The sequence below is a fragment of the Homo sapiens genome, chromosome 9, assembly GCF_000001405.40.
Source record: "Homo sapiens chromosome 9, GRCh38.p14 Primary Assembly".
NCBI lineage: Eukaryota > Metazoa > Chordata > Mammalia > Primates > Hominidae > Homo > Homo sapiens.
This window is the reverse complement of record NC_000009.12, coordinates 95,985,639-96,011,991: the sequence shown is the minus strand read 5'-3', so window position 1 is coordinate 96,011,991 and position 26,353 is coordinate 95,985,639. Positions and strand designations below refer to the sequence as shown.

The 26,353-nt window shown below is 42.3% G+C and overlaps 1 protein-coding gene across 8 annotated transcripts in view; it reads right to left on the bottom strand.

Annotated features, from left to right (window-relative positions):
- The window catches only part of ERCC6L2 (ERCC excision repair 6 like 2), a 165,402-nt gene that overhangs the window by 29,101 nt on the left and 109,948 nt on the right, over nucleotides 1-26,353 (bottom strand). For 7 of the 8 annotated variants that reach the window (NM_001375291.1, XM_047423357.1, NM_001375292.1 and 4 more), the window contains one exon: nucleotides 7,291-7,472. In NM_001375291.1, coding sequence (NP_001362220.1) covers nucleotides 7,291-7,472 — 182 coding nt within the window. Of the gene's footprint in view, nucleotides 1-7,290; nucleotides 7,473-14,578; nucleotides 14,747-26,353 lie in introns of all 8 variants that reach the window. The other variant, NR_164677.1, reaches the window with a different exon arrangement.

Sequence of the window (26,353 nt, the reverse complement as noted above, 5' to 3'; positions counted from 1 at the left end):
TTGATTTATGCTATTATATTAGGTATTTCCTGGGAATTATGGAGGCCCAGCATGCTACTCCTCCTTTGAGCCAATTTATGACTGACATGAGGATCATGATTTATAGACTCTGTACTTGAAAATCTATATTGTATTCAAGTCTCATGAAATGAAATTGTCAAAGAATCTTAACGAAAAGAGCAAATTCTGAAAAATTAAGAAAGACATTTTTTTCCCTTCCCTCTCCTTTTCCCCTTCTTTTACAAATACAACATAGAAATCGCACAAGACTTTTTGATGAGCCCAAAGGAAAGTTCTAAACTGATAAACCTAGACTATTTTTTCCCCAGTTGGCATGGACACCTAAGCTAAGGAGTGAGATGCTATTAGAAGAAATGTGTTGTATTCTTAGTGTAAGATACTAATAAAAGCTGTTGTATGCATGTATGAGGAAATGGGCCTTCAAGAACCTTGGTAAGATAGAGGCAGAAAGATTTAGGGACCTGGGCAATGAGCCCTGCTCCTTTCCCTAAATGAGGGTGCCATGGACTAAACTGTGCCCCTCCCCCAAATCATGCAGAAGCCCCCTAACCCAGGACGTAACAGTATTTGGAGTTAGAGCCTTCAGGAGGTAATTAAGGTTAAATGAAGTCATACGGGTGGGACCCTGATCCAACAGGATTAGTGTCCTTAGAAGAGATGCCAGAGAACCCACACAGTTTCTTTCTCTTCTGTCTCTTCCTCTCTGCCATGTAAGGATACAGGGAGATGGTGGCCACCTGCCAGCCAGGAAGAGGGCCCTCACCAGAAACTGAATCAGCTAACTTCTTGTTGTTGGCCATCCAGCCTCCAGAACTGTGGACACGAATTTCTGTTGTTTAAGCCACCCAGTCTATAGTATTTTGTTATGGCAATCCAAGCAGACTAAGACAATGGGTATTGCTTTGCTGATGATGAGTTTGGGCCATGAGATAGAACAGCTCAATGTTTATAAATACTCCTTTGAACAAAAGTCATAGATAGTGAGTGCAGCAGCACTTGATTAAAAGTCCTAAAGTTTTAGAAATTATATTTTACACCATAGTTCCTTAAAACATTCATTTATTTATTCACTTAACAAATATTTATAGAGCCTGTTATGTGCTAAGCACTATAGCAGGAACTATATAACAGCAAATAAGACTCCGTTTCCTATCTTCAAGGAGTTTACAGTTTACTTGGGCTAGACAAATGCATGAAAATCAAAGTAGAATAGAGTGATAAACCCATAATGTAAATTTACCATGAGGTAAATATGGGGCACTACTGGCATTCATAGAAAGGGAACCTAGGTCAGTGATTGGTGGTAGGCAAGGTGGATAGAAAGGGTGTCTCTTCCTGACAAGTCAGTCAGGTAATGATGAGTGAGGAAGTCTCCCAGGGGGAGAGGGTGCATGTACAGGCTCAGGTCCAAGATGACCTGGTTCACAGAGGGGCAGGAGAAACTGCAAGGAAGAGGCTAAAAATCATAGGGGGTCCGTAGGCCAAGTTTAGAAGTTTGAATTTTATCCTATGCAAAACAGAGAATCCTTAGCATTAAAAAAATTACTTTTAATGTATGTTAGTAGGAGCTTCAATGCCACTTTTCTTTCTGCCACGTAGACCAGGTTACATAGTTTGTGTTTCCTTTGCTTTTAGGGGCAGACCATAAAGCACACTCACAACTTTCTTTTGTGGCTTCAGATGGGCCTGTGGCTTCTAGTCCTCACTACACTGTCTTGTTAACTTCCCGAAATCCAGATACTATACATGCTTGATCAACAGCCACTTTCATCTCCAACAGAATATTTAGTAACACATACACATGACTCCAACTTTCTGTCCTGGAAATTGCCAATGTTCTTGTTGGAAAGTAACAAGCATGTTCTTAAGAGGTTCCAGTTTTCACTTCACATGAAGTAATGAGATATTATTCTGTCTATTTTTCATCTTCAAATCCATTTTCATGGCCCTTCTATTAAATATTTGTGTTTGTAAAGATTAAGTGATTGGCAAGGTTACAAGCTGATGTCTTTTATTTATCCAAGGCTTGGTGGTGTCTCAGCAACTGCCAAAGTAACTTCACCTCTGCTGTGCTGAAACCACGACCTCACCCGTGACCCTGTGAGCTGTCACCTCTGGGAGGAGAGCTGCTTCTAACCTCATTTTATCTGAGTAGTCTGCAAGTACACTATGCCACATGGTTGCTGCTTACAGGATAAGCTATAATTATCATTCACTTTATTTCTGCCTTTTAACTGGCTTTCCTAATTCTGGGCCTTCAGAATTTTCTCTAAGAATTTAAGGAACTGCAGGGTACAAACAGGGGGCATAAGCCAGCCAGTTTGTGAAGAAAAGTTAGTTAACTAGAGTAGACTTCCATAACCCACTTAGGGAAAGGGGGAAAAAAAGAAACCAAAGATATGTATCTTTCAGCAAGTGTATCAAAAGCAGTTATGTATCATGGATACAATTCAAAATCCTCTCTCTTTCTGGAGGAAGGGAGGTGGAACACACCTAAATTCATCTTCTGTCTGCCTAAGCTTCCGGAAGGAGAGGAGGACTGAACACTTCATTCAGATGATCATGTGACTGCAGTAGAGGGAGGTGCAGTCTTGATTCTGATTGACTAGGACAGTTAATGGAAAAGAGGGTGGTAAAATGTACATGGTTGGACAGTTTTACTTCTACATCCCTAATTGGTAACCAAAGCCAATAAGGCACATAGTGATTGAAACACTTGAACATGCCACTAGAACTCAACGAAGCTGACGAGTCTGTCATCGCTCTGCCCACGGCTCAAGATGCGTATGCAGCATGCTGTACAGCATTGTGTCCATTCCAAAAGCAAACTCCCCGACCACAGCAGGTGCTGTATCAGTCACTTTCACAATGCTGATTGCAACATCTGATCTGGTGCCGGAGCTGAAGGATTTCATCAGGCTGGACAGATCAATTGTTGGAGAGAAAGGCAAAATAAAAATAGCACCATGGTGCATACCTGACTGGAAAAATGGGTAATGTTACCACCAAGTGCAAGGCTGTGAAGGCTGCTTTCTCGCTTATCTATAATGCTGTGTGCAAACCCAGCTGTAACCTGATGCAGCAGATAAACAAAAGATTCAGTGCTCTACTCTCAGCTGTCAAGCCAGGAGGCACCACAACCTCTGTCAAACTCAACCCAGCATGTGACTTCAACGAAGCCGCAGCATGACTAGCTAGCAAGGGTCTTGACATCAAGATAACACGATTACTCTTTCAACTTGGTACCGACCCTAACCTTGGGGTCACTGGGTGTGCCTTCATAAGTCAGTTTAAGCTCATCACAACCTTTTCTGAAATGACCTCATATGTTATAATGTGAAGTTTCATTGAGGAAGGATTCAATCATGCCTCACTGCTCCCTGGTGCAGGTTGTGACATAATGAAATTCATGAGCATTGAAGGACGACTCATTGAGAAACATGGGGAAGAACTTCCATTTCTTAGTCTTCTGACTCAGAGGGCACAAAGAATTAACACCTGCAAAGTTCCCTAATCTCTGTAAGGTCACAAATACATGGAAAAGAAAGCTAGATAATTCACTCAGAGACTACCAGTCAACAAAGGAGTCCCCCTCCAAACTTACTGATCATGAGGTTGAAGAGGCAGCTTCAAAACCACCTTTTAAGAAGGCACTGGTGAGCAAAGAAGATGAAAAAGGACTATAAGCAGCATACAATATATCTAGGGAAGATATTAAAGTTGCACTGACATTGAAGCCCAGAACAGAACAAACCAGTGTCCCAACATGGCTCTTGGAGGCGATCGAGAACAGAGAACGCATGCAAACTTAGGGAAAAAAAGGTATATGGTCAGTCTCCTGGCAAAATATTTGCCCAAAGTGAAAAGGCACACTCTGCAAAAATCCTTGTTGCCGATCTGTTCTGTGGGTAGGTACACTGTGTGGCAGTGTGGAAGGTGGTCACCTTTCTCTGCAACTGCAGAGAGCTGAGAGCCATACTCCAACCAGCCACGCCAGCACTCCAAAGAGCTGCGGGGCCAGCTCTTCCCTGGGCAGCTGAGGAACCAGCTGCCTGGGAGTCGCCAAACCCCTGCAGGAAGTACTTTGAACCCAGAGACATTTCCCACTGCCCCCAGAAGCCAGCAGGACCAGTCCAACCATGCCTCCCATCCCTGTTCACTTCTGTCATCCATTACCACTGGCCTCTCATCTCCTCCTACTGTACATCTTGATCTAATCCAATCCCTCACCCTTCCAAGCCATCCCTCCGTGCCCCTGGAACCAAGAGTCCCCCGAGTCTTCTGCTTCTATGCTGAATGGTCCTGTGCTCTGCTGATATTGCCTCTTCCCATGCGGCCCTTGCAAGGCAAGGCTCTTGCATCTCACAGCTCTCCAACCTCAGGGTTAGTGCTTCTAGACAATGCTGCTTCCAGACCATTCTTTTCTCAGAAAACTCCTTCCCCTCTTTAACATTTATGCCATCCAGCTAAACTGTTCTCTCCTCAATCTTCAGTGACCCCTTCATTGCTTCCTGCTAGCAGCTAAACTCTCAAGATCCTGGATTAATCTTGCTTCCCACCCCATCTCTTGCCATCATTCTTGATAACATCAATATCCATGTGGATGTCCCACCCATATCTGGCCCACCACTTTCTTTAGCTCACCTCCAAACTCATCTTAACTCCATGTTAGCCCCTACTCCCAAGTTTATAAATTGCCATTGTCATTACCATCAACAGCTCAACCTCCATGTCCCTGACTTAGTCATCTAAGGCTCCAGCTCAGCTGCTTGATGACTGCCCACAACAGCAATGCTGGGGGATATGCTGGTAACCTCAAGTCCTCAAATTCACTGACTCTTGTGCTTTTACACTATCCATCAGCCTCCCTTGTCCAGCTTAGGTTTAACTTTATAATCACTCCTTTACAAACATTCTTCAGCTTCCTTGCTTCTCTCTCCCTCCATTCTAACCCCTGGTCAGACCCAGCCATCTTTCTACTTGTTTCTGCAACAGAGCAACTGAAGCTTGCTGAATAAAATGTGCATACTGGACAGATGATTTTCCTGAAATTATTCTCAAATGGGAACTTAACACCACCCAGAAATTCTGGTCCCATTAAGCTTGCTTTCCTACTTTATAAATGATTTGTTTCCTAACTTCTCTCTCCCTAAATCTTTCTCCCTCTGAACTTATGGCTTCAGTTCTCAACTCATTGAGAAAATGTCACATCTGTGCCTGTGTTTGTCCCTTCTCTTTCAATGCCTCTCAAAGGCCAGAGCGTGGCCTGTGGTTTGGGTACTGCCCTCCACTGCTTCCAGGCCCTCCCTCTTTCTGTTTTCACCTCTCTGACATGATCTCTTTTTCTCCTACAAGTCTTTTCCCTCAACACACAACAGGTTCTGTTATCTCAACTGTAAGACCCACAATGCCCTCCAGCTGCTGCTACTTTTTACATTCAAACTTACAGCACCAGCCACCTCCCGCCAGGGCGCGCGCACTGCTTCCATCCGAACTCATAGCACCGGCCACCTCCCGCCAGGGCCTGAGCACTGCTTCCCAGGCTGCTCCTGCCAAGGTGCCTGCTGAGTGCTCTGCTGCTGTCTTCAGTGGGCAGTTTCCCACCTCATCTGCTTCTGGTTCTCAGCAGTATTTGACAAACTCCCTCCTTTTAAGATCCTCTCGCTACTCCTGCACTTCAGGACCTGATACTGTGCCTCTTATGCCTCCTCCAGAAGTAGCTGCTGCCTCCAGTCTGTGTCCTGGGACTTCTTTCCTCCTCTCTGTGCTCTATTTCTAGGCTGCTCACATAGTCTCACAGTTCTGAAGACCATTTATAAACTCTATGCTGATGACTCCCAAATTTAAACTTTTAATCCCCAAACCAGGAGTAGCTCATACATACATTGCCTACTGAACCTTCCCACAGAATGTCACATTTAATACGTGCAAAAGGGAACTCCTGAATTTTTTCCTCTCTTGTTTCTCTCTGGTTTTCCCCATTCAGTACCTCCACTCTGTTGCTCAAAACAGAAAGAAGTAATCTTGTTCTCTTTCTTTCCCGAACCAGTCCATCACCAAATTGAATTCATCTACTTGGCTCTATCCTCATGGCAACCACTCTGGTACAAACCCCCATCACCGAGTTCCTTCTTGTTACCCCTTGTTCATTCTGCACTCTTCTACAGGGAAGCTGGAACCATCTTTTAAAAAGATACATCAGATCGTGCCATTCTTCAACAGTTTTCCACTGCACTTGGAACAAAATCCAAACTCTTTCTGTAGCCCCCAAGGGTTGGCATGCTCCAGCCCCACCTGCGTCCCTACCCTCCATCTCATGCTACTCTCTGCTTGGTTTATTCTGCACTAAGGCCACCAGTCTTCTCCCAGCTCCTTGACCACACCAAACCTCTTCCCTCCTTGGAGATGCTCCTACTCCGGTTCTTTGCATGGTTATCCTTCAGCTCTTAACTTAAATGCTACCCATGTAGACAGTCTTCCCTGACTTCCCAAAAGAAAGGTGGTTCCATGTCCCCTCCCCATCCTATTATTCTCTTTCTCTTTTTTCTTATAACACATCATTTTATAATTATTTGTAGGTTTACTTTTTAAAACTTCATGGTTTGATGCCAAACCCATTCCTCTGTACTGGAGGCTCTATGTCTGTCCTTTTTTTTTTGAGACAGAGTCTCGCTCTGTCGCCCAGGTTGGAGTGCAGTGGCGCAATCTCGGCTCACTGCAAGCTCCGCCTCCCAGGTTCACTCCATTCTCCTGCCTCAGCCTCCTGAGTAGCTGGGACTACAGGTGCCCGCCACCACGCCCGGCTAATTTTTTGCATTTTTAGTAGAGACGGGGTTTCACCGTATTAGCCAGGATGGTCTCAATCTCCTGACCTCGTGATCCACCCGCCTCGGCCTCCCAAAGTGCTGAGATTACAAGCATGAGCCACCGCACCCTGCTGTCCTTTTTTTACACTGCATATTCAAGACTCAGCACAATGCCTGGGCATATATTAGGTGCTCAAAATATATTCATTGACTGAATGAATAAAATGCACTTAAGTATTTCATTTCTTTGTATAACATGATTTCCCTTTTTATGGTAATCAATTCAGGGATTAGCCTTCTAACAACATCTAAAACATTTGCAGTTTATTTTTGAAATTCAGATTTTTCTGAAATATTCAGATGTCAGTTATGGTTATAATTCAAGTATTTACATATTTTACTAATGAGCTACATTTCCTTTGAGAATTATTCTTCAAGTATAGTATTGTCAGAGACAATATACCTGCGGATTCCTTTTGGTGTTTCTCCAATTATGAAGGTGGTCTGGTTTGTATGGTAGACTTTTTTCTTCTTCTGGTTTACAGGATTTGAAATGTAAAGAGGAAGTGAAATGCTGCCTTCACTCGGTTGCTGGCCTTTCTTTGTGTGTGGCAATGTATCTGCATCCACTTTTTCTTTATATGTCTGAAAAAAAGAAAGGAAACAAAAGCTATGTCTGAAAAAATAGTCATTGTTGGTCAAATAATGAGAATGTCTTACTTTTTCTCAATACTCTTTATAATGAAGTAAATCATATTCTCCAACTGAAATCAATGTCAGAAGATATTAACCTAGGTCTTTAAGAAGATGACACAGGGAAAAAATTATTTTTATACCTTTCTTTAAGTTATACAAGTATTGGCAATAATACGTTATTTCCATTGTCAAGACTTGGGCATACTGATACATACGTTGATACCTACTATACCAAAGAAGGATAAAAATTAATGATTATATACACTATGGCATAAACATGGGATATCTAAAATTTTCTAATTTAGTAATTGCAAAATTATTAAGCAGTCTTTCAGTTGTCTAATTTCATTAATGGAGACATGTAAAAAATACCAATCTTTATGTAATAATTAAATAAATAAATCATAAATCTTACATTTCAACCTCTGCTGGGTTGCAAGAATATTTAGTGATTTTGAGATGCTAACTACAGTTGGCTGAATTATAGATGGAATCATACTCCTTTTACAGAGACCATGAATTGCCTGCCTAACATAAATTTTACTGACAGTGAGGCAAGAAAAATAAACTTTATACAGTCCCAGTTTTCCTGACAAGATGATACAGTATGAATAGGTAGAAAGTCCTCATCCTATTCCAAAAAGAGAAATACTAAATACAATTTAACAATAACAACAACAAAATTACACTGGAGCTCAAAAGTAAGAAAGCAGAATGTCTAGGTGCCCCAAACAAGGAAGTCCCACAGTGGTGAGTGGGAGCTGAAGCTCAGCAGCCCTAGTAGGGTAGGACCTTAAGTTACAGCACCCATGTGGAATATAGCACCATGTGGGTGCTATAGTCTATAGCACCCATGTGGAAATGGGAGATGGAAATGGTTTAACTCCCTGCATTAAACAACAAAGAAACACAAAACAGGAATGAGGAGTCAAATTTGCAAATTAAAGCCAGGAAAGCCAAACCTGGCACACAGGCTAGAAGTAGGCCACTTTCTTACTCTAGATAGAAAGAATCACTGGTGACAAACACGAATGCCCAGCCAGTGCCATGTGTGGAATGCGATTTGTACCACGTGGTGGTATGGGAACTCTAAGCTGAAAATTAACATAAATAATTTGTCCAGAACTAGTGAAAACCATAGATCTCAATGAGGGGTGAATAAAAAACATACCATAGGAAGACTGCCATAAGCCAGAGAATGCTTTTGATTCCAATGAAAACAGAAGGAGTTCAGACAAAAATTATGAAGAGCATATAAAACCTACCATCATGAAATTGAGCACATGTAACAAATATAAGAACTGAAATCCGAGGAATTACCTATAATAAAGCAATCTGAAAAAGATATTTATTTATGAATGAATAAACACATAGCAGAGTCTCACTTTGTCACCCAGGCTGGAGCGCAGTGGCATGATCACAGCTCACTGCAGTTGATAAACTGGAAGGATAAAATTACTCAGAATTAAGTGCAGAGATTAAAAAAAATAGGGAAGTTAAGAGACAGAAGACATATCAAAGTTTCTAAAATGCTAAAAGGACAGAATAGAGAAAATGGAAGAGATAATGCCAGAGACCTGCAAAAGAAAGGAATCCTCAAACTGAAAAAGGAGGAAGAATCCCTAGTAGGAAAAATGAAAATAAACCTGCATTTTGTTATATCACAGATAAAGGGCAAACCTTAAAAACTACCAGAGAAAGAGGATAAGACATCCTACAAAGAAATGCCAAATTAGGCCAGGCACAGTGGCTCACACTTGTAATCCCAGCACTTTGGGAGGCTGAGGTAGGCAGATTACTTTTAGCCCAGGATTTCAAGACCAACCACATTTGCCTGGCAATGTGGTAAAACCTTTTCTCTACAAAAAAAAATACAAAAACTAGCTTGGTGCGGTGGCGTGCCCCTGTAGTCCCAGCTACTCTGGAGGCTGAGGTGGGAGGATGGCTTGAGCCCGGGAGGCAGAAGTTGCAATGAGCCAAGATCGTGCCACTGCATTCCAGCCTGGGTGACAGGGCCAGATCTTGTCTCAGGAAAAAAAAAAAAAGCCAAACTAACATCCGTCTTCTCATTAACATCACAATCCTATCCACCAAAAGAAAATGGGATATCTTCAACACGCAGAGAAAAAAACAAAACAAAACAAAAAACCCTGGCAACCTAGAATTCTATACCCAGTTAAACTATTGAGAGGTGACAGCGTGCTGGCAGTCTTCAGAGCCCCCGCTTGCTCTCGGCACCTCCCCTGCCTGGGCTCCCACTTTGGTGGCATTTGAGGAGCCCTTCAGTCCCCCACTGCACTGTGGGAGCCCCTTTCTGGGCTGGCCAAGGCTGGAGCCCACTCCCTCAGCTTGCAGGGAGGTGTGGAGGGAGAGGCACGCGCGGGAACCGGGGCTGTGTGTGGCGCTTGTGGGCCAGCTGGAGTTCCAGGTGGGCGTGGGCTTGGTGCGCCCCGCACTCGGAGCAGCCAGCCAGCCCTGCTGGTCCCCGGCAATGGGGGACTTAGCACCCGGGCCAGTGGCTGCGGAGGGTGTACTGAGTCCCCCAGCAGTGCTGGCCCACTGGTGCTACGCTCGATTTCTCGCCGGGCCTTGGCTGCCTTCCCACGGGGCAGGGCTCAGGACCTGCAGCCCGCCATGCCTGAGCCTCCCACCCACTCCATGGGCTCCTGTGCGGCCCAAGCCTCCCCGACGAGCGCCACCCCCTGCTCCACGGCGCCCAGTCCCATCAACCACCCAAGGGCTGAGGAATGCGAGCACACGGCGCAGGACTGGCAGGCAGCTCCACCTGCAGCCCCGGTGCGGGATCCACTGGGTGAAGCCAGCTGGGCTCCTGAGTCTGGTGGGGACGTGGAGAGTCTTTATATCTAGCTCAGGGATTGTAAATACACCAATTGGCACTCTGTATCTAGCTCAAGGTTTGTAAATACACCAATCAGCACCCTGTGTTTAGCTCAAGGTTTGTGAATGCACCAATCGACACCCTGTAGCTAGCTGCTCTGGTGGGGCCTTGGAGAACCTGTGTGAGGAAACTCTGTATCTAACTAATCTGATGGGGACGTGGAGAACCTTTGTATCTAGCTCAGGGATTGTAAATGCACCAATCAGCGCCCTGACAAAACAGGCCACTCGGCTCCACCAATCAGCAGGATGTGGGTGGGGCCAGATAAGAGAATAAAAGCAGGCTGCCCGAGCCAGCATTGGCAACCCGCTCGGGTCCCCTTCCACACTGTGGAAGATTTGTTCTTTCGCTCTTTGCAATAAATCTTGCTACTGCTCACTCTTTGGGTCCACGCTGCTTTTATGAGCTGTAACACTCACCGCAAAGATCTGCAGCTTCACTCCTGAGCCCAGCGAGACCACGAGCCCACCGGGAGGAATGAACAACTCCAGACGCGCTGCCTTAAGAGCTGTAACACTCACCGCGAAGGTCTGCAGCTTCACTCCTGAGCCAGCGAGACCATGAACCCACCAGAAGGAAGAAACTCCGAACACATCTGAACATCAGAAGGGACAGACTCCAGACACACCACCTTAAGAGCTGTAACACTCACCGCGAGGGTCCACGGCTTCATTCTTGAAGTCAGTGAGACCAAGAACCCACCAATTCCGGACACACTATCACGTAAGAACTTTTCAGACATACAAAGCACGAGCCCACAGGCCGAGCTAATTTTTCTATTATTTTATAGACATGGGGTCTTGCTATGTCGCCCAGATTGGCATAGGTAATGCTGCAAGACCCTGGGCTCAAAAGCAATCCTCCTGCCTCAACCTCCCAAAGTGTTGGGATTATGGAGTGAGCCACTGTGTCTGGTCTTTTTTTTAATAGAAGTTCAATGGGATTGAAGCGGTGATACATTCAATGAATGTGGGCAAGGAATGACTTTTAATTCCACAAATATTTACTAAGCACCTATTACGTTCCTGCCAACATGTTATGCATTTGAGATGCAAAGATATTTATATATACAAATATTCCCCTACCCTTAAGGGATTTAAAAGTGACAAGCCATTTTTAAAAATATGATGTTTATCTTTTTTCTTTTTTGTATAAGACATTTACCTCTATAACTTATATTCTGGTTCATTTTATTGAAACTGACAAAAGCAAGAGTATGTTCTTTAGTAACAAACGATTTCTAAGGAAAACTGACATGTTCAAAAGCTACTGTGGTTCAGATGGACAAACACAAAATGCCAGGTGGTCAGGTTGAACCAGGGCTTTATATCAGTAATGTTAAAAGTACTTTCCTTAAAAATATATTTTAAAAAATTGTATCTTGGCCAGGCGCGGTGGCTCACACCTGTAATCCCAGCACTTTGGGAGGCCGAGGTGGGCGGATCACGAGGTCAGGAGATCGAGACCATCCTGGCCAACATGGTGAAACCTCATCTCTACTAAAAATAAAAAAATTGGCTGGGTGTGGTGGTATGTGCCTGTAATCCCAGCTACTCGGGAGGCTGAGACAAGAGAATCACTTGAACCAGGGAGTCGGAGGTTGCAGTGAGCTGAGATCACGTCACTGCACTCCAGCCTGGCAATGGAGTGAGACTGTCTCAAAAAAAAAAAAAATTGTATCTTAAAACATTAATAGAAAGAAAAATGTTAATCTTTAAAGTTTGAAAAAGATTTGATGCATTTATTTACTATCACAAAACAAAATGAACACCAGAAGTTCCTAATACAAAGACTCATCATCCTAGATTATACCCCCAAGAAAATAATCATTCGTTACTATGAGATGAGATGGTATTGCTTATTACATGAAGGTAAAGGGAGTAAACAGAAAGAGAAGGAACTGGGCCAATAAAGAAAATACCATCCTCATATTTTGCAATTTCTGAAGCCATAGAGAAATCATGCCAAGCAATGGCAATTGTCAATTATTTACGTGTTTACTCTGGGTCTTGCAATGACCCTGGCAGCACTGCAAAGCTCACATGTATACAGATACATTTTTCTTAAATTGGTTTTATAACTTCTTTAGGAAAATTCAGCTTTTGCAACCATAGCTATTAGACACGTGGATCTTTAATTTTTGCCAAACATTCCACATTTAAAAATCTGATTCTTTCAGGCAATAATAAAAGGAAATTTTTTTTTTTTTGAGACAGAGTCTCACTCTCTCGCCCAGGCTGGAGTGCAGCGGCGTGATCTCGGCTCACTGCAAGCTCCGCCTCCTGGGTTCACGCCATTCTCCTGCCTCAGCCTCCTGAGTAGCTGGGACTACAGGCGCCCACCACCACGCCTGGCTAATTTTTTTGTATTTTTAGTAGAGAGGGGGTTTCACCCTGTTAGCCAGGATGGTCTAGATCTCCTGACTTCGTGATCTGCCTGCCTCGACCTCCCAAAGTGCTGGGATTACAGGAGTGAGCCACCACGCCCGGCCAGGAAAATCATTCTTATTTAACATGGGCTCAATAGCTATCTTTTATTTTTAAAAATCTATCTAGTTTCATATTTCCATTTTAGCAGGGAACTTTAATACTTTACTGAAACAAGGCTGTGAAACAAAATAGTTATATTAAAAATAAATTTTAGGAATCAATGTGCCATTTAGGCTTATTCTGAATGAAAGCTCTAAAGGTTACATGTATAAACTATGTATGGGTTGGGGGCAGTGTACTGGATTAGTTTCCTATTGCTGCCATAACAGAGTATCACAAAACGAGTGACTTAAAACAACATAAATTCATTATCTTATACTTCTGTAGGTCAGAAGCTTGACATGGGTCTCACTAAGCTAAAGTCAAGATGTTGGCAGGGCTGCATTCCTTTTTGAAGGCTCTGGGATAATGAATTTCTTTGCTTTTCCAGCTCCTGGAGGCTGCCCACAATCCTTGTCTTGTGGTCCCCTTCCAAAGCTAGCAACCCTTCTTCTCTAACTGTTCTGCACAGTCACATCACCCTCTCACCACAGCCAGGAAAGGCGCTCTGCTTTTAATAACTAATGTGATTAGATTGGGCCTATCCAGATAATCCACGAGCAAAGTGGGTTAATTAACATCCTTAACTGCATACATCCAATTGACCCATCTCAAGGTCAGCTGATTCAACCTTAATTGCATCTACAACCTTAATTCCTTTTCCTGTTTGCTGGGTAATGTAATGTATTCATAGGTTCCAGAAATGAGTTAACAGACATCTTTGAGGGGGGCATTAATTGTTTTCCACTGGCAGGGAGAGTGGGGGTCTTAACCTGGGTCCACCGACCCTCCAAAGGTTCTGTAGATGGGTTTCAGGGACTTCAGAAAGGGATATCTATGAATCTCCTGAAGCTGTATTTGCACATTTGAGCATGAACACGTTTTTCAAAAAAAAAGAGCCCATGGCTTTAATCATGTTCTTAAAGGTGTATATGGCCAGAAAAGGTGTATATGGCCAGAAAGAGTTGAAAAACCGCTGTTTTAAGCAGCAGCACCATTGGTATACTTTTCGAATATTCTTGTCTTTTGAAAAACAATATCTACTTTATAAACATTTTGGTGCTCGTTAGAAAAGTTGGTTTCACTAAAATAGTAAATCTTTCACAATAAATGGTACAAGATAAATAATGCTGCATTGCAGTTGCTATTGTAGTGACAATTATAACTTATTATAAAACAACATACAAGGCTAGGATGAAAAGATTCTAGATTACGTGAACTTAACTCAAACTTGTTCATTACCAATTATATCAAAGCTGTGAAGTCATGACACTGTGGCAACACGATGAAACAGCAATAGTAATGAAGATTCAAGTAATAAAAGATTCAGTAAAATGATTTGGAATAGGAATTTAAAAGATAATACAAGCATACCTCTGATATACTGCAGATTTGGTCCTGGACCACCACCACAAATTTTTTGGTTTGTCAGTACATATAAAAGTTATGCTTACACTATATTGTAGTCTATTAGGTGTGCATACATTATGCCACTGCTTTATCAACTAAGTTTATGTAACATTCTAAATTCTTTGTTGCTATTTCAACAATGTTCACAGCATCTTCACTAGGATAGAGTCCATCTTAAGAAATCGCTCTTTGCTAATCCATAAGAAGCAATTCCTTACCTGTTAAAGTTTTATCATGAGATTGCAGCAGTTCAGTCCCATCTTCAGGCTCCATTTCTAATTCTAGTTCTCTTGCTGCTTCCACCACATCTACAGTTAGTTCCCCCACTAAAGTCTTGAATCTCTCAAAGTCATCCATGAGGGCTGGAATCAACTTCTTCCAAACTTCTGTTAATGTAGATATTTTGAAATGCTCCCATGAATCAAAGATGTTTTCAATGATATCTAAAATGGTGACTCCTTTCCAGAAGGTTAACAACTGACTTTGCCCAAGTCCACCAGAGAAATCATTATTGATGCCAGTTACAGTCTTATGAAACTTATTTTCTTTTCAAATTTAATTTTTAGAGATGGAGTCTCACCAAGTGGACCAGGCTGGCCTTGAACTCCTGGTTTCAAGTGATTCTCCCAGGTCAGCCTCCTGAGTAGCTAGAACTACAGGCATGTGCCACTGTGCCCGGCTCTGTATTTCTTAAATAAGACTTGAAAGCCAAAATTACTCCTTGATCTACGGGCTGCAGAATAAATGCCGTGTTAGTAGACATGAAAACAACATTCATTTCCTTGTACATTTCCATCTCTCTCTTGGGTGACTAGATGCACTGTCAATTAGCAGCAATATTTTGAAAGGAATCTTCTTTTCTGAGTAGCATGTCTCAATAGTGGGCATGAAATATTCAGTAAGCCATGCCATAAACAGATGGGCTGTCATCCAGGCTTTGTTGGTTCATTTATGGAGCACAAGTGGAATAGATTTGGCATAATCCTTAAGGGCCCTAGGATTTTCCAAATGGTAAATTATCACTGGCTTCTACTTAAAGTCCCCAGCTGCACTAGTCCCTAACAAGAGCGTCAGCCTGTCCTTTGAAGCCAGGCATTGACTTCTCCCCTCTAGCTATGAAAATCCTAGGTAACATCTTCCAACAGAAGGCTGTTTTGTCTTCATTGAAAATCTATTGTTTAGTGTAGCCACCTTCATCAGTGATCTTAGCTAGGTCTTCTGGATAACTTGCTGCAGCTTCTACATCAGCACTTGCTGCTGCTATGGAGACAGCTTCTTAGCTTAAATGTCATGAACTTCTGTTAGCTTCAAATTTTTTCTTCTACAGCTTTCTCACCTCTCTCAGCTTTCACAGAATTGAAGTGCATTAGAGCCTTGCCTAGGCTTAAGGGAATATTATGGCTGGTTTGATCTTTGATCCAGACCACTACAACTTTCTCCATGTCAGAGATAAGGCTGTTTCACTTTCTTATTGTTTGTGTGTTCACTGAAGTAGCACTTTTAATCTCCTTCCAGAACTTTCCTTTGCATTCACAACTTGGCTGTTAGGCACAGGTGCCTAGTTTTCAGCCTATTTTGGCTTTTGACATGCCTTTCTAATGAAGCGTCATCATTTCTAGCTTTTGATGTGAGAGATGTGAGACTCTTCCTTTAAAGTTGAACAATTAAAGGCCATTGTAGGATTATTAATTGGCCTAACTTCAATACTGTTGCATTTCAGGGAATGGGGAGGTCTAAGGAGAGGGATAGAGGGAAAATGGCTGGTTGTAGAGCAGTCGGAACACACACATTTATTAAGTTTGCCATCTTGAATGTGTGCAGTTGGTGCCCAACAGTTACAACAGGAACATCAAAGATCATGCATGTGATCTGTGGATCACCTTAACAGATATAATAATAACGAAAAACTTCAAAATATTGTGAGAATTACCAAAATGTGACTCAGAGACACAAAGTGAGCACATATTGTTGGAAAAATGATGCCAATAGCCTTGTGTGAAGCAGGGTGGCCACAAAACTTCAATTTGTAAAAAAGGCATTATCTACAAAGTGCAATCAAATGAAGTACACTAAAACAAGGAATGCCTATGTATTATGATTACAATAACCAAGAAGGTACTTTTGTAGGGAAAACTTTCTTCTTCCAGAGTAGACAGAATGAGTCCACCCTAGATCTACTAACTATCCATAATTCTCTATAACTTACTTCTTACTTTTAGGTTTTAGGTTTATACTGGTTAACAGCAGAAAAGTTCCTTATCTTCATTTAGATTGATAGTATGAAACATTCAAATGAACTTTGATAATACTTTTTCTTTTGAACCAAAAGTGTATTCTGTGTATTTTAAGGCATTAGATCTAAACCAAGTTGCATTATTTTCATTGAAATGATATTTATTGAAAGGCTCAACTGAAAAAAGTTAAGATTTTTGATATGAAAGGGTAAGTAAAAACAAAATCAACTCTTAACTTTGCAGATAGCTATCTTTGATGTCAGTATACTTAAAAATACAAGGAAGATTCCCCCCTACCTCACAGGCACATGATTAAATTAGCAGTTTTCTATTTACTCAGCTACATATGGAATCTATCTTTATATAGTAGAAGGCTATACTAGAATTGTTCAGAGAATGTTTATGAAATAAGAAACCCTCTATTAATATTCTCCAAGCAAAAAGTAATTTTGGAGGTAAGTTACTAAAGAACAGTAGAGGGCACCTAGGTAGGAATAGCAAAGAAGTGAAAAAAGCTGATAGGGAGGAATCGTTCCCACACCCATACACTGTAACAAATGAGGCAAAAAAGTTACAATCCAGGAGAGCAAGTTTCAAGTGCAATCAAGGAACAGCCTCTAGTTCCCATTTCGGCAGGAGAAATATTATCAGTAATCTCTGCATCTTTCTAAATCTCTTTGGGCGAATTCCTGGAGACACAGCTATAGCTGATAATCTGCAGATAATCTGATTCATTCTCCCCTGCTCATCTGTATACTCCAAGGTGCAGAGAAGGCTTGGGAGGATGGTGCACAGGGAAGCAGAACAGCCTGACAGTTGTCCACAGGAGGCCACGAGGAAGTAGTGAAATCTTTTATTAAGCAAGTGTGGAATGGATCTATCTACTGGGCTGGCTTCTCCAGAATATACCTCACGGAGCAAACAGAACAAAGAGCAGTGCATGCTAAACAGCTGCACCAACTCTTCCATAACCAGATGATTAGGCCTGATAAGTCAGTGAGAAAACTGGAAACAAGGAGGAGATCTTCAAAGCCACTGGAAGGTCCTGATGGCTCTGACCCACTGAGAAGCTAGAGTGGAAGGCTTAATTAAAAGTTCTGATTCTAAGGTCAAAAAGGATCTGCCCATCCCAGGATAGCTCTTTGTACACCTTGTTCCTGAGCTTCACAAGACACTCTAAGGTCATCACAGGTGGGCACACCATGTGGCCACAAGCCCTCATATCCACCTGATCATGCCAACTCTGCCATCAAGCAGTCAAAACAACAAAACATTTCGGGATTTTTGCTTAAGTATGAAAATCCTCAACATCATTCAAGGTTTGTGCCTGGAGATAGAAAATGTTACTGTAAATGCAGTTTTCCAATACTCAACAAGAACCTAAGGCAACTATGAGCTATCCCTGAATTGTCTTAACTCACTATCTGCAGAAAAGCCAGCTGGTCAGAGGATCCACCACAAATATACATAGAGTCAAATTTTCTGCCTATGTTTAAAAATGATGTTCAAATCTGAAAAAAACAACAGCATTTAGATTCAAATCCAAAACCTTTTCTGGGGAGAGAGGGAGATGAAAGTTTTTAACCATGGGTCTGCTTTCTTCCTGGAAGGAGTAATACTATATTATCCAGCTAAACTCTTTTTTCAATAGTGCTTTGCTTTCTGAGTGAGCCACATAAGGACAACTTTATATTGGCTGTCCTGAGCCTGCTTTTATTTCAAGAATAATGGAAGTATCTCTTCAAATAAACACATATCAAACTAAATCTGATAGAAGCTGCTTGTGGAAATTCAGCATCACTTATAGGGGTGACTCATTGTTCAAGAAACCCATCTATCTGAAATGATGCGAAGTGGCAGCATTGGGGGGAGCAGGTGAATGCCATGTGCTACAGACAGAAACACAGGAACTCCATCTCCCTGGGGTCTGCTGACCTGCTGGCTCTGTGGGAAAGGGCCAAGCGAGACCATAGCAATTACCTTCACCAAAGCTTGCAGATGTGCAATGGAAAATTTCGCTAATACCCTCAGTTCACCATGAGAGTACAGCCCAGGAGTAAATTCCCTTTAATTCCTCCTACAAAGGCTAGAGCAGGATAGAAGCCTTTCCAGATAGCAGTCTGAGCACTGGACTCAGCACCATAGCCCTGGCATCCAGGCCCTACTTTGCCACTTACTCTTTCCATTTGGGGAGATTCTGTACCTTTCTGAGGATCATCTTGGGGATAATGAAAGATTTGGAGACTGGGATCTAGGAGAAGGGAGATTTGGATCTGGGACTCCTACCAGTCTCTTTCGTATTTAAAATTCACAATTCTACTAGTCTTTATAGGATCTCCAGTAAGTACTAATAGATAGGTCCATCACATCTTGTAGCCTTGACCTCAATTTCAAATCTCTGTATGTACTAAGTTTTATTTGTATTACTATATTTTCTATAAAGACTACCTGAAGATCTCATATGAAATAATACTTGTTATATGTGACCTCATATGAAATAATACCTGTTATATGTCGTATCACTGGCAACAAAGATCACAGAAGAATGGTGCTGGTGAAAAAAAATTAACCATAGAAAGCCTTTCTTGGCAGGCACCCACTGCTGCCTGTGTTTTCCAGTGGCTAGCTTAGGCTCCTCATGTCCCTCCACCCTGGCCTCCAGCTGGGCCACTTAGGCTGATTTGATTAGAAGGCAACCAAATGGCTCTCCAGTGTCTGGGGAAGAAGATTTCAAGCACGTACCACAAATGACACTGAGACATTACAACTAGTTGTGAGATTTGATGTAATTATTTATTATTAATAATAAAGTGCTAAAGTATGTGAAAGATTCAGCTTTTTTAGTAAATTAGAGTTAATTCCCTATAATCACATCATCTTTACTCTCTTCTATTCTGACATGCTTTCTTTGGTTATGCATTAGAGAAAGTAACATTTTCACACAGAGAAAGACCAAATGGAAGCATATCCTGCTAGAAGTGAATTTAATGATAAGGCAACTGTTTTCATATGGGTCTAAGACAGCAGTTCTGAAGCTTTTTGGTCTTAGAACCCCTTTATACTTCAAAAATTATTGAGAATCTCAAGGAGTTTTTGTTTGTGTGGGTTATATCTACTGAAAATTTAAAGTCTTTATCACCTAATTAAAATAACAAAAGCCCATTACATGTTAACATAAGGAACTTTTTAAAACAAAAGTAACTATATTTTCCAAAGCAAAAAACCAAAAAGTTAGTGAGAAGCGTGGCTATGTTTTACATTTTTACAAATGTCTTTAATATTTGGCTTAATAAAAGTCAGCTGAATTCTTCTGTTTCTACATTCAATCTGTTGTGACACATTGTTTTGGTTGAAGCTTATGAAGAAAATTGGTCTCATACAGATATGTAGTTAGAAAAGGGAAAAATATTTTAATAGATATTTTCAGATTTGGAGATAATTATGGATTTTCTTTGACACTATACCAAAACTCAAGGTTAATTTCATTAAAAATCTGAAACCTTTCAGTAAAATTTTTATATTGTTAAAATTCATTGGTGTATCTTGAACTTTGGGTAAATCTTTTCCCCATGTGTGATTTTTAATATCATTCACTGGTCATTTAGAAAATACTTATTAATAGAGTTATACAGATCTTCAAAACACGGACACATTTAATTATACCACGTTACAAATATCACTTTTGTCATTATCAGAAAAATACGTATTGGGAAGGTGTCAATGCTATGGTGGTAGATACAAGCTTTTCAGTATTTTAACTTTCACTTGAAAGCTTGAATTTTATCACTGGCAACAAGCACTATCCATTGTTTTCTTTGAAGTGACATGCTCACTAGGTTCATTTTTTTGGGGAAGTGCCAAATACCCAAGTCTGAATAACCAGTCTGTCTATCAGTCATTCTTTCAAGTACAAATGGTGTTCTATAAAAAAGAGGCTAGTTCAATTTGCAACTCAAACAATTATACAAGTGCTTTATGCAAACTTCCCATTTCACCATACAGAACATAAAAAAGATGGGCAGTAAAGGGTTGAGATTTGCTAAAATTAATTTTGCTGCTTCCTCAAAGATATTCGTAACAGAAAGCAGTTTCTTTTTCCTGCAAGAATGTGGTGGTAAAGAATCCATTAACTACTAGTGATATAGAAGAGCTGGGCTCCCATCTAAACCCCACCCTTAAGCTCAGCCTAGATCTGTGGTCCTACGTGGAAACAGCTGACCCCGTTTTTCCACCCAAACGTTGCCTTTCTGGCTTGCCCCTTACCCCCATCCTGGGCCCATAAAAGACTTAGCTGGCAGAGCAACACAAGCAGCTGAGCGGCAAGCAGAGAAGCAACTGAGCATCGGAGCCTATGGACAGATGCAGCTAACTTCAGACAGTGAAGCTTGGAGAGGGGCCTGGCTGGAGATGGCCAGGCTTCAGGGAAAGATCACCTTCCCATCCCCTTTCCAGCCTCCCTTTCTGCTGAGAGCCGCCCACCGCTCAATAAAGTCTTCCACATGCATCACCTTTCAAACAGTTCATATGACCTGATTCTTCCTGGACACCAGACAAGAACCCACGTGCCAAGAGGGCAGGGGCTGCCACTCTGACCCTCCACTCAGCTGGCTGGCACTTGGCTGTCCCCGGATGGGAGAGCTTGAAGTGCATTGGTTGTAACACACTTGGACACTGCTGCAGGGCCCTCACAGAGCCTGCTCCCACCAGAGAGGAGTGACTGGCTGGTTGCAGCGTTTGTTCGCTCCTGTTCCTATACTTGCTTGCTCGCTTGTACACTCTCTCCTATGAGCAGTGGCCAGCAGCGGGCTGAAACGAGCCACTCCAGTTCCTGCCCGCGAAGGGGGTCAAGGGAGCTATCCTGTCTCACTACTACAATTAAGGGCCACTGCCTGTTCATGGTAATCTGCCAGCAGGCTCCCCAACATGGCTTTTGAATCGTAAATGTCAACAAGTGAAAAGATGGACCCCCCCTCCGAGTCTTGGGGCTATCTTAGGGTCCATGGACCACACTTTGAGAACTGCCAGTCTCTAATAAACTGGAATGTCTTCATTCAACACATACTTGATACCTTCATGTTGGCAAATTTGACCATGATAATCAAGAGTGGGCTTCACCCAGATTTATGTCCACACACATGAAATGGTCCCCCACCTGTTGAGTGCAAATATAATAGTCTTTCTGTCTAGAATAATCATTACATCAACCTGCTCCAGCCTGGCTCCTGGCCTTCTTCACTGTGGAATGGTTAGGTATTTGGCACCTGTCAGAGTATAAAGCCTAACATCTCAGTCTGTTCAGGTCAGTTTAACATTTATTGATTATTGCCCTAAATGAAAGGCCCTTCATGACTTGTTCTTAACCCCCTATGTGCCTTACTGCTCTCTGTTGTCCAATGTAAGTCTGCCTGGTCAGTCCGGTCTTCTCACTAGCTGCCAAACACATTGTCACATTTCTGGCTCCAGATTTCCTCAGAACCCGGCTTCTTGCCCAACACTGTCCTACCTGTACTCAAAGGTACAGCTTTACAAGACTTCCCTTGCATACTCTTTTCTTGCATTATTATGTTGATTTCTCATTTGGCAGCTTTATTATAAAATGGTATGCACCTTGATTTAAGATTTTATGTCATCTCATACAACATACCAAACCAAGCATCCAATAATGCTGCACATAGGCCAAAGATCCTAATTTCATCCATAAAAGAAATATAATGAAACTAGAGGTTCTCTTTGAACAGGTAGGGCCCCCTGTACTATTTGAAATTACTTTGATTGTTTAGGTCTATTTAACTTTTTAACTAGATCACACTTCTCTAATCCAGAGAGCAACCATGTATTTTTATTGCACTAAGTCCTGACTCATGCCCGATAGGCTCTCAATAAATGCTTGCTGTATGAATATAAACTTACACAAATATGACTGTGATATTGTGAAATAGATATTTGGTCTTTGTCCCAGCTTCCTGGCATACAACCCCTAAAATCCTTGAAATAAAGTGATGTGCTTTTCTATGCTAATGAATTGGCTGGTGGCTGGCAGCCCCCTAGGAGCTTCAGGATGGGGCTGGTCACCTGAAAGACCAAGGCAGGGTCAGAGGGTTGGGACTGTCAGCTCCACCCCCCAACTTTCAGGGAGGGAACAGGGGCTGATGGTTAAGCTGATCACCAATGGCTTAACCATCATAACCATTAATTACATAGGTATGATTGATTCAATACCTATGTAATGAAGCCTCCATAAAAACCCAAAGTACTGGATTCTGAGAGCATCTGGATAGCTGAGAAGGTGGACATTCCCAGAGGGCACAGCACTCAGGACTGAGTGTGGAAGCTCTGCACCTCTTCCCCCATACCTTACCCTGCGCAGCTCTTCATCTCTATCCTAATAAAATGGTAACCCTAAGTATTTCCTTGAGTTCTGTGAGCTGCTCTGGCAAATTAAACAAGCCCCAGGAGGGGGTTGTGGGAACCCTGATTTATAGCTGGTTGGTTAGAAGCACAGGTAAAACAAACTGGGTCTTGTGACTGACAAGCTGTAGGTAGTCTTGTGGGACTGAGTGTTCAACCTGTTGGATCTGATACTGTATCCAGGCAGATAGTATTGGAATTGAATCGGAGGATACCCAGGCATCTGCTACAGAATTGACTGCTTGCTGGTGTAAGGGAAAATCCCCCACACAGTTGGTCACAGAAGTCTTCTGTGTTGACTGTTGTGGGGTGAGAGCAGAGGAAAAACAGGGTGATTTTTTTTCCCACTCAACAACAAAGAAAATTAAATTTCTGGAGGATATTTGCCAAAAAAGTTTTTTGAACAAGATAAAAAGTTCTTGCTGTTAAGGCATTCAATTATTTCATCTGCAACAAAATAGCCTTACATAGCAAATGAAATAGTGGGATACGGCTTTCCAATCCATTTTGAAGCAGGTAATGTTAGTCATGAGACTTGTTTATAGATTAACTGAAATTTGACTCCGATACTAAGTAATGCAGCTAACAAGATGACTGACGTCTCCAAAATAAAACATCAACTTACCATCTTGCTGTAAAAGCGGTGAGAACAGATCCTAGTTATACTAAAGGGGTATTATCTTCATCAGATAATTTGCAAAATATCACAAATTCCAGTTCAGACGTATTTGTCTTATCTAATGCCAACTCACCACAAAAGAGTTATGCTCATACCAACAAATTAGAATAATTATTCACATTTTCATTTATAGAATCTCTTTGAGAAGGAAAATGTCTCCAGGGTATGTCAGAGACCTTTGCGGCAGCCCCTCCCATCACAGGCCCTGAGGCCCAGGAAGAAAAAATGGTTTCGTAGAAAAATGGTAGAGGCTTGGTCTCCTGTGTCCTAGCCGCTCTAGCCATGGCTAAAAGGGTCCAAGGTACAGCTTGGGCCATGGCTTCAGAGAGGGCAAGCCCCAAGCCTTGGCAGCTTCCACGTGGTGTTGAGCCTATGGGTGCACAGAAGTCAAGAACTGAGGTTTGGGAACCATCACCTAGATTTTAAAGGATGGATGGAAACCCTTGGATGTCCAGGCAGACGTTTGCTGCAGGGGTGGGGCCCTCATGGAGAACCTCTCTGCTAGGGCAGTGCAGAAGGGAAATGTGGGGTCAGAGTCCCCACACAGAGTTCCCAATAGGGCACTGCCTAGTGGAGGTGTGAGAAGAGGGCCACCATACTCCAGGCCCCATAATGGTAGATCCACTGAGAGCATGCATTGTGCACCTGGAAAAGCCACAGCCACTCAATGCTAGCCCATGGAAGCAGTCATGAGAGAGGCTGTACCCTGCAAAGCCACAGGGGCAGAGCTGCTCAAGACGATGGGAACCCACCTCTTGTATCAGTTTGACCTGGATGTTGGGACATGAAGTCCAAGGAGATCATTTTGGAGCTTTAAGATTTGACTGCCCCACTGGATTCTGGACTTGCATGGGGCCTTTAGCACCTTCATTTTGGCCAATTTTCTCCCATTTGGAATGGGTGTATTTATCCAATTCCTGTACGTCCATTGTATCTAGAAAGTAACTAACTTGCTTTTGATTTTACAGGCTCATAGGCAGAAAGGACTTGCCTTGTCTCAAATGAGACTTTGGACTGTGGACATTTGAATTAATGCTGAAATGAGTTAAGACTTTGGAGGACTGTTGGGAAGGCATGACTGGTTTTGAAATGTGAGGACATGAGATTTGGGAGGGGCCAGGGGCAGAATGATATGGTTTGGCTCTGTGTCCCCACCCAAATCTCATCTTGAATTGTAGCTCCCATAATTCTCCTGTGTTGTGGGAAGTACTCGATGGGAGATAATTGAATCACAGGGGCAGTTTCACTCATACTGTTCTCGTGGTAGTGAATAAGTCTCATGAGATGTGATGGTTTAATAAGGGGTTGCTCCTTTCTCTTGGCTCTCATTTTTCTTTTTGCCTGCTGCCATGTAAGGTATGACTTTCACCTTCCACCATGATTGTGAGGCCTCCTCAGCCATGTGGAACTGTGAGTCCATTAAACCTTTTTCTTTATAAATTACCCAGTCTCTGGTGTGTCTTTAACAGCAATGTGAAAATGGACTAATATACCTGACAAAAGGAGAGAGATAAGGCTGGGCATGGTGGCTTGTGCCTGTAATCCCAGCACTTTGGGAGGCCAGTGTGGGTGGATCACCTGAGGTCAGGAGTTTGAGACCAGCCTCAGCAACATGGCAAAACCCCGTCTCTACTAAAAATACAAAAATTAGCCAGCTGTGGTGATGTGTGCCTGTAGTCCCAGCTACTCAGGAGGCTGAGGCAGGAGAATCACTTGAACTTGGGAGGCAGGGGTTGCAGTGAGCAGAGACTACATCACTGCACACTGGCCTGGGTGACACCAAGACTTTGTCTCAAAAAAAAAAAAAAAAAAAGGAGAGAGATATATGAAGACAATCATACATCCCTGTCCTCAGAATACATCTGTGTGAGGAAATGAGTTCTTGAGTTGCAGTAGTTATCTGGCAACATGAAACAAAAGACCTAAGGACTAAAAGTTAATTTACTAAAGATAGTGGGGCAGAAAAGGAAAGAGCCTGAATCCCTATGGTGTCATGGGGCTGTCACACCTGAAAATGCCTCCTTCCAGACCTGCTGTTATTTGAATTAGTTTAGTGACTTACTATATAGCCCAATTTTTGATGGTTATTCTATTGCCTGCACTCAAAAGCATGTTGTACATATGCATATAGTATTGTATAATACAATGAGATAATGGCTATAGCAGATAAACACACACAAGTAAAGAGAAAGATGAGGAAAAATTTACACTGCTTTGGAGGAGAGTTGGGGGAGAGCTGTCACAGATGATACAAGGGGTAGGAGTTCAATCAGCAGACACAGGTGACAAGGAATTTTAAACAAGGAACCATAGAAGCAAAGGCTTGGAAGGCCTAAGCATGTTTGGAGAATAGTTCACAAACTGAAGGCTGTCTAAGAAGAGCCTGTTTGTTCATCTTCGTATCCCTGGTGTTTAGTACATAACAGAATATAAATAGAATCTGCTCTCACAGCTTTTTACTATGTTGTTGGTACATACTCTGTGGTTGGTATGTACCAAGATTATTGGTACATAATTCATGTCAATAATCTTGATTAGGTGAGTGTCTTGGAATGAGACTAGAAAAGCACACTAGGGCCCAATTGAGACAGGCCTCGTATACTACGGAAAGGACACAATAAGACACTTGACAGCTTTGGAAGATACAAAGTGACTCTGGAAGCCACACAATG